Genomic DNA, 11,535 nt, shown 5'->3' on the forward strand with positions numbered 1-11,535 from the left:
TGTGCTAAGGATAAATATCCTCCAGATCAGTAACTGAATAGCAGATTCCAGGAACTATACTGATTGGTTCTGGAAAATAGTCCACATCTAGAAACAGGTAGCTGAAATTACAGTCACTACCTAATAATGGTTTTTATAATCCATTGTCATGTTTCAAGATGCATCTTTTTGTGAAAAAAAATGGGTTATTACCACTGTATTTTCCAAGTCTTTGATAGTGGAAAACATTTTTGCATTTCCTCAGGGATATGACTTTGGAGTTGATATGATATTATAGTCAGCTGCTTTGACTTGGCCCTTACTCGATGTGTCAAGAAGCCAATGAAGGCATTTTATGAGTTGTTATAAGTAGGTACTTACTTACAATAATACCAGGAAGTACCCTGGACCTGGAGTATGTACAGTATGTACAGGATCTTACTGGTTTGATAATAAAATACATATACAGAGAACAATATAATAGAAAAAACAGAGATTAATAGAACTAGGTCCTTACTCTGAATAGTGGAATGTAGTGGTATTAAGGGGCCCAGAGAACGGGTGTCATTCCAGGAGCCAGTGTCTAATACATTTTGTAGAGTCTGGATATTTCTTTTTCCACTGCACTGTTATACTGGAAAATAGCCCTAGGCCCCTTTATGGGAGTCTAGGAGTACAATAGTTCTTGCTGCTGATGTTGTTAACCCGTTTTCAAGATTGCACAGCCTCCCCTTTATTAAATAAACCCTGTGTTTTTTAACTGGCTCAGATTAGGGCATTAGATGGGAACTATGGCTCTCTTCTGGTTGCCCTATGTTTACAGGATTTTAAATTTGTTTGATTTTCTTCCTAGTTACATGAGAAACTTAGTGACCTGCCTATGTATTTGTTATTACGCCCCACAAAGATAATTTCACAGCAGATTGTTCTGATCCTTAATGCTGCCGTTTTGGCCCCTGTAATTCCCTGACTCCCATAACCACTACTGCCTGTGATTACCTATGATTTTATTATTTTCACTGAAATTAAGGAACATATTTCAGCCACCGGAGCACCTACCAGCACCTCTGACCTTCAGAGAAGAGCTTAGTTTGAACGGGATTGCACGTGTTAAATCCATTCCAATATCTGTGTCTCCTTAAGTCTCTGGAGTTCTTTTTTTTTTTTTAACTGATCTCTAAATGTATATTAAAGGGGTACAAGTGCAGATTTCGTACTTGCATATATTGTGTAGTGGTGAAGTCTGGGCTTTCAGTATACCCATAACCTAGTGAGCATTGTACTCAATAGATAATTTCTCAACCCTCAACTCTCTACCTTTTGGAGTCTCTGATACCTATTATTCCACGCTGTATGTCCATGTGTACACATTGTTTAGCTCCCAATTACAATCGATAACATGCAGTATTTCACTTTCTGTTTCTGAATTATTTCACCTAGGATAATGGCTGCCAGTCCCATCCATGTTGTTGAGAAGACAAGATTTTATTCGTTTTATGGCTGAGTAGTATTCCATGGTATGTATCACATTTTCTTTATCCAATCCCTCACTGATGAATACTTAGGTTGATTCCATGACTTTGCTCTTGTGAAAAGTGCTGCAATAGGCATATCAGTCCAGATGTCTTTTCGATATAATAATTTCTTTTGCTTCATTCATTTACTCAGTAGTGGCATTGCTGTATTGAAAGGTAGTGCTATTTTTACTTCTTTGAAAAATATTTATATTTCTGTCAGCAGTGTATAGGTGTTCCCTTTTCTGTGCAACCTGGCCTACATCTGCTGGGTTTTTTGGTTTTTTTTTTTTTTTTTTGACTTCTTTTTTTTTTATTTTTTATTTTTTATTATTATACTTTTAGTTTTAGGGTACATGTGCACATTGTGCAGGTTAGTTACATATGTATACATGCGCCATGCTGATGCGCTGCACCCACTAACTCCTCATCTAGCATTGGTTATATCTCCCAATGCTATCCCTCCCCCCTCCCCCCACCCCACAACAGTCCCCAGAGTGTGATATTCCCCTTCCTGTGTCCATGTGATCTCATTATTCAATTCCCACCTATGAGTGAGAATATGTGGTGTTTGGTTTTTTGTTCTTGCGATAGTTTACTGAGAATGATGATTTCCAATTTCGTCCATGTCCCTACAAAGGACATGAACTCATCATTTTTTATGGCTGCATAGTATTCCATGGTGTATATGTGCCACATTTTCTTCATCCAGTCTATCATTGTTGGACATTTGGGTTGGTTCCAAGTCTTTGCTATTGTGAATAATGCCGCAATAAACATACGTGTGCATGTGTCTTTATAACAGCATGATTTATAGTCCTTTGGGTATATACCCAGTAAAGGGATGGCTGGGTCAAATGGTATTTCCAGTTCTAGATCCTTGAGGAATCGCCACACTGACTTCCACAATGGTTGAACTAGTTTACAGTCCCACCAACAGTGTAAAAGTGTTCCTATTTCTCCACATCCTCTCCAGCACCTGTTGTTTCCTGACTTTTTAATGATTGCCATTCTAACTGGTGTGAGATGGTATCTCATTGTGGTTTTGATTTGCATTTCTCTGATGGCCAGTGATGGTGAGCATTTTTTCATGTGTTTTTTGGCTGCATAAATGTCTTCTTTTGAGAAGTGTCTGTTCATGTCCTTCGCCCACTTTTTGATGGGGTTGTTTGTTTTTTTCTTGTAAATTTGTTTGAGTTCATTGTAGATTCTGGATATTAGCCCTTTGTCAGATGAGTAGGTTGCGAAAATTTTCTCCCATTTTGTGGGTTGCCTGTTCACTCTGATGGTAGTTTCTTTTGCTGTGCAGAAGCTCTTTAGTTTAATTAGATCCCATTTGTCAATTTTGGCTTTTGTTGTCATTGCTTTTGGTGTTTTAGACATGAAGTCCTTGCCCATGCCTATGTCCTGAATGGTAATGCCTAGGTTTTCTTCTAGGGTTTTTATGGTGTTAGGTATAACATTTAAGTCTTTAATCCATCTTGAATTGATTTTTGTGTAAGGTGTAAGGAAGGAATCCAGTTTCAGCTTTCTACATATGGCTAGCCAGTTTTCCCAGCACCATTTATTAAATAGAGAATCCTTTCCCCATTGCTTGTTTTTCTCAGGTTTGTCAAAGATCAGATAGTTGTAGATATGCGGCGTTATTTCTGAGGGCTCTGTTGTGTTCCATTGATCTATATCTCTGTTTTGGTACCAGTACCATGCGTTTTGGTTACTGTAGCCTTGTAGTATAGTTTGAAGTCAGGTAGTGTGATGCCTCCAGCTTTGTTCTTTTGGCTTAGGGTTGACTTGGCAATGCAGCCTCTTTTTTTGGTTCCATATGAACTTTAAAGTAGTTTTTTCCAATTCTGTGAAGAAAGTCATTGGTAGCTTGATGGGGATGGCATTGAATCTGTAAATTACCTTGGGCAGTATGGCCATTTTCACGATATTGATTCTTCCTACCCATGAGCATGGAATGTTCTTCCATTTGTTTGTATCCTCTTTTACTTCATTGAGCAGTGGTTTGTAGTTCTCCTTGAAGAGGTCTTTCACATCCTTGTAAGTTGGATTCCTAGGTATTTTATTCTCTTTGAAGCAATTTTGAATGGGAGTTCACTCATGATTTGGCTCTCTGTTTGCCTGTTGTTGGTGTATAAGAATGCTTGTGATTTTTGTACATTGATTTTGTATCCTGAGACTTTGCTGAAGTTGCTTAATCAGCTTAAGGAGATTTTGGGCTGAGACAATGGGGTTTTCTAGATATACAATCATGTCGTCTGCAAACAGGGACAATTTGACTTCCTCTTTTCCTAATTGAATACCCTTTATTTCCTTCTCCTGCCTAATTGCCCTGGCCAGAACTTCCAACACTATGTTGAATAGGAGTGGTGAGAGAGGGCATCCCTGTCTTGTGCCAGTTTTCAAAGGGAATGCTTCCAGTTTTTGCCCATTCAGTATGATATTGGCTGTGGGTTTGTCATAGATAGCTCTTACTATTTTGAAATATGTCCCATCAATACCTAATTTATTGAGAGTTTTTAGCATGAAGGGTTGTTGAATTTTGTCAAAGGCTTTTTCTGCATCTATTGAGATAATCATGTGGTTTTTGTCTTTGGTTCTGTTTATATGCTGTATTACATTTATTGATTTGCGTATATTGAACCAGCCTTGCATCCCAGGAATGAAGCCCACTTGATCATGGTGGATAAGCTTTTTGATGTGCTGCTGGATTCGGTTTGCCAGTATTTTATTGAGGATTTTTGCATCAATGTTCATCAAGGATATTGGTCTAAAATTCTCTTTTTTTGTTGTGTCTCTGCCTGGCTTTGGTATCAGAATGATGCTGGCCTCATAAAATGAGTTAGGGAGGATTCCCTCTTTTTCTATTGATTGGAATAGTTTCAGAAGGAATGGTACCAGTTCCTGCTTGTACCTCTGGTAGAATTCGGCTGTGAATCCATCTGGTCCTGGACTCTTTTTGGTTGGTAAGCTATTGATTATTGCCACAATTTCAGATCCTGTTATTGGTCTATTCAGAGATTCAACTTCTTCCTGGTTTAGTCTTGGGAGAGTGTATGTGTCGAGGAATTTATCCATTTCTTCTAGATTTTCTAGTTTATTTGTGTAGAGGTGTTTGTAGTATTCTCTGATGGTAGTTTGTATTTCTGTGGGATCAGTGGTGATATCCCCTTTATCCTTTTTTTTGTGTCTATTTGATTCCTCTCTCTTTTTTTCTTTATTAGTCTTGCTAGCGGTCTATCAATTTTGTTGATCCTTTCAAAAAACCAGCTCCTGGATTCATTAATTTTTTGAAGGGTTTTTTTGTCTCTATTTCCTTCAGTTCTGCTCTGATTTTAGTTATTTCCTGCCTTCTGCTAGCTTTTGAATGTGTTTGCTCTTGCTTTTCTAGTTTTTTTAATTGTGATGTTAGGGTGTCAATTTTGGATCTTTCCTGCTTTCTCTTGTGGGCATTTAGTGCTATAAATTTCCCTCTACACACTGCTTTGAATGCGTCCCAGAGATTCTGGTATGTTGTGTCTTTGTTCTCATTGGTTTCAAAGAACATCTTTATTTCTGCCTTCATTTCGTTATGTACCCACTAGTCATTCAGGAGCAGGTTGTTCAGTTTCCATGTAGTTGAGCGGTTTTGAGTGAGATTCTTAATCCTGAGTTCTAGTTTGATTGCACTGTGGTCTGAGAGATAGTTTGTTATAATTTCTGTTCTTTTACATTTGCTGAGGAGAGCTTTACTTCCAAGTATGTGGTCAATTTTGGAATAGGTGTGGTGTGGTGCTGAAAAAAATGTATATTCTGTTGACTTGGGGTGGAGAGTTCTGTAGATGTCTATTAGGTCCGCTTGGTGCAGAGCTGAGTTCAATTCCTGGGTATCCTTGTTGACTTTCTGTCTTGTTGATCTGTCTAATATTGAGAGTGGGGTGTTAAAATCTCCCATTATTAATGTGTGGGAGTCTAAGTCTCTTTGTAGGTCACTCAGGACTTGCTTTATGAATCTTGGTGCTCCTGTATTGGGTGCATATATATTTAGGAGAGTTAGCTCTTCTTGTTGAATTGATCCCTTTACCATTATGTAATGGCCTTCTTTGACTCTTTTGATCTTTGTTGGTTTAAAGTCTGTTTTATCAGAGACTAGGATTGCAACCCCTGCCTTCTTTTGTTTTCCATTTGCTTGGTAGATCTTCCTCCATCCTTTTATTTTGAGCCTATGTGTGTCTCTGCACGTGAGATGGGTTTCCTGAATACAGCACACTGATGGGTCTTGACTCTTTATCCAATTTGCCAGTCTGTGTCTTTTAATTGGAGCATTTAGTCCATTTACATTTAAAGTTAATATTGTTATGTGTGAATTTGATCCTGTCATTATGATGTTAGCTGGTGATTTTGCTCGTTAGTTGATGCAGTTTCTTCCTAGTCTCGATGGTCTTTACATTTTGGCATGATTTTGCAGCGGCTGGTACCGGTTGTTCCTTTCCATATTTAGCGCTTCCTTCAGGAGCTCTTTTAGGGTAGGCCTGGTGGTGACAAAATCTCTCAGCATTTGCTTGTCTGTAAAGTATTTTATTTCTCCTTCACTTATGAAGCTTAGTTTGGCTGGATATGAAATTCTGGCTTGAAAATTCTTTTCTTTAAGAATGTTGAATATTGGCCCCCACTCTCTTCTGGCTTGTAGGGTTTCTGCCGAGAGATCCGCTGTTAGTCTGATGGGCTTCCCTTTGAGGGTAACCCAACCTTTCTCTCTGGCTGCCCTTAACATTTTTTCCTTCATTTCAATTTTGGTGAATCTGACAGTTATGTGTCTTGGAGTTGCTCTTCTCGAGGAGTATCTTTGTGGCGTTCTCTGTATTTCCTGAATCTGAACATTGGCCTGCCTTGCTAGATTGGGGAAGTTCTCCTGGATAATATCCTGCAGCATGTTTTCCAACTTGGTTCCATTCTCCCCATCACTTTCAGGTGCACCAATCAGACGTAGATTTGGTCTTTTCACATAGTCCCATATTTCTTGGAGGCTTTGCTCATTTCTTTTTATTCTTTTTTCTCTAAACTTCCCTTCTTGCTTCATTTCATTCATTTCATCTTCCATTGCTGATACCCCTTCTTCCAGTTGATCGCATCGGCTCCTGAGGCTTCTGCATTCTTCACGTATTTCTCGAGCCTTGGTTTTCAGCTCCATCAGCTCCTTTAAGCACTTCTCTGTATTGGTTTTCTAGTTATACATTCTTCTAAATTTTTTTCAAAGTTTTCAACTTCTTTGCCTTTGGTTTGAATGTCCTCCCGTAGCTCAGAGTAATTTGATCGTGTGAAGCCTTCTTCTCTCAACTAGTCAAAGTCATTCTCCATCCAGCTTTGTTCTGTTGCTGGTGAGGAACTGCATTCCTTTGGAGGAGGAGAGGCGCTCTGCTTTTTAGAGTTTCCAGCTTTTCTGTTCTGTTTTTTCCCCATCTTTGTGGTTTTATCTACTTTTGGTGTTTGATGATGGTGATGTACACATGGGTTTTTGGTGTGGATGTCCTTTCTGTTTGTTAGTTTTCCTTCTAACAGACAGGACCCTCAGCTGCAGGTCTGTTGGAATACCCTGCTGTGTGAGGTGTCAGTGTGCCCCTGCTGGGGGGGTGCCTCCCAATTAGGCTGCTCAGGGGTCAGGGATTAGGGACCCACTTGAGGAGGCAGTCTGCCCGTTCTCAGATCTCCAGCTGTGTGCTGGGAGAACCACTGCTCTCTTCAAAGCTGTCAGACAGGGACATTTAAGTCTGCAGAGGTTACTGCTGTCTTTTTGTTTGTCTGTGCCCTGCCCCCAGAGGTGGAGCCTACAGAGGCAGGCAGGCCTCCTTGAGCTGTGGTGGGCTCCACCCAGTTCGAGCTTCTGGGCTGCTTTGTTTACCTAAGCAAGCCTGGGCAATGGCGGGCGCCCCTCCCCCAGCCTCGCTCCCGCCTTGCAGTTTGATCTCAGACTGCTGTGCTCGCAATCAGCGAGATTCCGTGGGCGTAGGACCCTCCAAGCCAGGTGCGTAATATAACCTCGTGGTGTGCCGTGTTTTAAGCCAGTCGGAAAAGCGCAGTATTCGGGTGGGAGTGACCCGATTTTCCAGGTGCCGTCTGTCACCCCTTTCTTTGACTAGGAAAGGGAACTCCCTGACCCCTTGCGCTTCCCGAGTGAGGCAATGCCTCGCCCTGCTTCGGCTGGCGCACGGTGAGCGCACCCGCTGACCTGCGCCCACTGTCTGGCACTCCCTAGTCAGATGAACCCGGTACCTCAGATGGAAATGCAGAAATCACCCCTCTTCTGCGTCGCTCATGCTGGGAGCTGTAGGCCGGAGCTGTTCCTATTCGGCCATCTTGGCTCCTCCCCCTCTTGACTTCTTAATAATAGTCGCTCTAACCGGTATATGATGGTATCTCACTGTGATTTTAACTTGCATTTCTAATGATTAGTTATGTTGAATATTTTTTCCATATGCTAGTTGGACACTTGTGTGTCTTCTTTGGATCAATGTGTGTTAATGTCTTTTTCCGACTTTCTAATGGAGTTATTTGCTTTTCTCTTTTTCTTTTTTTTTGAGATGGAGTCTCACTCTGTCACCCAGGCTGGAGTGCAGTGGTGCTATCTCAGCTTACTGCAACCTCTGCCTCCCAAGTTCAAACAATTCTCCTGCCTCAGCCTCCCAAATAGCTGGGATTCCAGGTGTGTGCCACAGCACCTGGCCAATTTTTGTGTTTTTAGTAGAGATGGAGTTTCACCATGTTGGTCAGGCTGGTCTCAAACTCCTGACCTCGTGATCCGCCCTCCTTGGACTCCCAAAGTACTGGGATTACAGGCATGAGCCACAGTGCCTGGCCTATTTGGATTTTTCTTATTGAATTATTTTAGTTCCTCATAGATTCTGAATATTAGTCTTTGTCAAATGCATAATTTGCAAATATTTTCTTCCATTCTGTAAGTTATCTGTTTACTCTTTTGGTTATTTCTTTCGCTTTACAGAAGTTTTTTTGGTTTAATTAAGTCCCATTTGTCAATTTTTGTTTCTGTTGCTTCTGCTTTTGATGTTTCAGTCATAAATTTTTTGCTTAGGCCAGTGTCTAAAAGAATATTTTTCTAGATTTTCTCCTAGGATTTTTATAGTTTCAGGACTTACATTTAAGTCCTTAGCCCACCTTGAGCTAAGTTTTTTTATATGGTGAGAGGTAGGAATCCAGTTTTATTCTTCTGCATATGGCTATGCAATTTTCCCAGCATCATTTATTGAATAGGGTGTCCTTTCCTCACTCTATATTTTTGTCAACTTTGTCAAGATCAGTTAACTGTAGGTGTGTGGCTTTATTTCTGGGTTCTCTGTCCTATTTCATTGATCTATGTGTCTAGTTATTGTGATTTGGTTATTGTAGCATTTTAGTATGATTTGAATTCAAGTAATGAGCCTTCTTCTGCTTTGTCTTTTTTGCTCAAGATTCCTTTGGCTACTTCGGGTCTTTTTTGGTTTCATATGAATTTTAGATTTTTTTTTTAATTCTATGAAGAGTGATGTTGGTAACTTGATAGGAATTACATTGAAGCTGTAGATTGCTTTGGAAAGAATGGTCATTTTAATGATATTGATTCTTCCAATCCATGAGCGTAAGCTGTTTTCTCATTTGTTTATATTACCTGCGATTTCTTTCCTCAGGATTTTGTTGTTATTCTTGCATGGGTCTTTCACTTCCTTGGTTAAACATAACCCTAGGGTGTTTTGTGTGTGTGTGGTTATTGCAAATAGAATGGAGTTCTTGATTTGATTCTCAGCTTGATCATTGTTGGTGTATAGAAATGCTACTAATTTTTTCACATTGATTTTGTATTTTAAGACTTCCATGAAGTCATTTATCAAATCTAGGAGTCTTTTGGAGGAGTTTCTAAGGTTTTCTAGATATAAGATCATATCATCTGCAAACAGATAATCTTGACTTCTGCTTTTCCAATTTTAAAGTCCTTCTTTTTCTCTTGCCTAGTTACTCTGGTGAGGACTTCCAGTATCATGTTAAATTAGATTGTTAAAAGTGAGCATCCTTGTCTTTTTCCAGTTCTTATGGGAAACTTTTTCAACCTTTCCTAATTCAGTATGATGGTGGCTGTGGGTTTGTTGTATAGGGCTTTTATTATTTTGAGTTATGTTCCTTTTATGCCCGATTTGCTGAGAATTTTTATCATGAGATGATGCAGGAGTTTACCAAATGATTTTTCTGCATCTATTGAATAATCATGTGGTTTTTGTTTTTAATTCTTTTTATATGATGTAGCATATCTATTAATTTATATATGTTGAACCATCCATGCATCACTGGAATAAATCCCACTTGATTGTGGTGCATTATTATTTTAATGTGCTGTTGGATTCAGTTTGCTAGTATGTTGTTGAGGATTATTGCATCTATGTTCACCAGGGATATTGGCCTGTAGTTTTCTTTTTTTATTGTGTTCTTTCCTGGCTTCTGTATCAGGGTGATGCTAAGACCAAAATGTAGACTATGTTAGGAAGGATTTCCTCCTAGGATTTTAAGAAAAGTTTCAGTAAGATTGATTCAGTTCTTCCTTGTATGTCTGGTAGAATTTGGGTGAAAATTCATCTTGTCCTGGTTTTTTGTTGTTGCTGTTTTTGTTATTGGGATTTTTTTAAATTACAGACTGAAATGTGCTGTTATTCTTTCAGGATTTCCTTCACAGTTGATTAGGCTTCTGTTTTACTGCTTTGAAGATTTTTTCCTTCACATTGACATTGGAGGATGTGATGACTATGTGCCTTGGTAAGGTTCATCTTGCAGTGTATCTCCCAGGAGTTCTCTGGGCTTTTTTGTATCTGAATGTCTAAATCTCTTGGAAGACCAGAGAAGTTTTCAGGAATTATTCTTTCAAATAGGTTTTTCATAGTTTTTGCTTTTTCCTCCTCTCTCTCTGGAATGCCAATAACTGATAGATTTTGATGCTTTACATAATCTCATGTTTCTCAAAGGCTTGGTTCATTTTTTATTGTTTTTTATTATTTTTTCTGACTGAGTTAATTGTAAAGTCTTGTCTTTCAGTTCTAAAATTCTGTCTTCTGCTTGGTCTAGCCTATTGTTAAAGCTTTCAACTGTATTTAGTAAATTCTTTCAATAATTTTTTTATTTCCAGGAGTTCTGTTTGCTTTTACTTAAAAAAATTAGTGTCTTCTTTCATATTCTGTATTTCTTTTCTGATTTATGTTGGCTTCCAACTTTCTCTTGGATCTCATTGAGATTCCTTACAATTCATATTTTAAATTTTTTATCTGTCATTTCAGAGTTTTTATTTGTTTAGAATCCATGGCAAGAGAGCTGATTTGTTTCTTTGGGATGTTGTAATGCGCTGCTTTTTTCATACTGCCTCAGTTCCTACACTGAGTGCTCATTTGGCTTCAGTTCTTTGTGTTTTCAAGGTTCCAAAGCTTTGTATGAGTTCATTGGTTATAGACAGTCTTTGTGCAGCAGCTTTCTCAAATGATGGTTGTAGTAATGATGTACTTGGCATATGAGCAAGCTCATTGCCTTCTGCAAGACTGGGGTTGCATAGGTCTCAGGAATGTTATTTCTTTCCCCAGCACTATGCACTTCTGTCAGCAGGTTTTGTACTGAGTTGTGCAGTTCAACCTCCAGGCCAGTACGTGGCACTTAGGGGTAAGAGCTGGCTTCAGCAGAAGCAGGTGAGGATGTACTTGATCTTTGTTTACTGGGAGGTGCTCTGATATTTCAGGTGATGGTCTGGGCTGTGGAATGCTTCATGCCTTGGGTTCCTTGCTTAGCCTGGGGGATGAGGGAACAAAGCTTGGTGGAGCTGGATCACCAAGCTTGTCTACAAATAGCTAATGACAAGTACAGACACCAGCCCTGACACAGTGTCAGGGAGAACTGGTGACATGCATTGAGGTCTGCACAGGGCCAGGGAGGCAGCTGCACCAACTCCATGTCCTAAGAAGGCAAGAATGCAATTCATTTCCCTATCACCCCCATGTCCCAGGACTCGAGACTCTCAGCTCAGTAAGACACTGTCCTCTAT

At 39.6% G+C, this 11,535-nt stretch overlaps 2 annotated features.

Moving 5' to 3' along the window:
* Positions 6,719 to 7,462: an enhancer, noted in NCBI's record as "H3K27ac-H3K4me1 hESC enhancer chr10:85545719-85546462 (GRCh37/hg19 assembly coordinates)". NCBI's record gives its function as "activates a minimal SCP1, AML or CMV promoter by ChIP-STARR-seq in naive and primed H9 embryonic stem cells {active_cell/tissue: H9 hESC(naive and primed)}" and the evidence as "EXISTENCE:reporter gene assay evidence [ECO:0000049][PMID:30033119]".
* Positions 7,463 to 8,204: an enhancer, noted in NCBI's record as "H3K27ac-H3K4me1 hESC enhancer chr10:85546463-85547204 (GRCh37/hg19 assembly coordinates)". NCBI's record gives its function as "activates a minimal SCP1, AML or CMV promoter by ChIP-STARR-seq in naive H9 embryonic stem cells {active_cell/tissue: H9 hESC(naive)}" and the evidence as "EXISTENCE:reporter gene assay evidence [ECO:0000049][PMID:30033119]".

This window comes from Homo sapiens, chromosome 10 (assembly GCF_000001405.40).
Source record: "Homo sapiens chromosome 10, GRCh38.p14 Primary Assembly".
Taxonomy (NCBI): domain Eukaryota; kingdom Metazoa; phylum Chordata; class Mammalia; order Primates; family Hominidae; genus Homo; species Homo sapiens.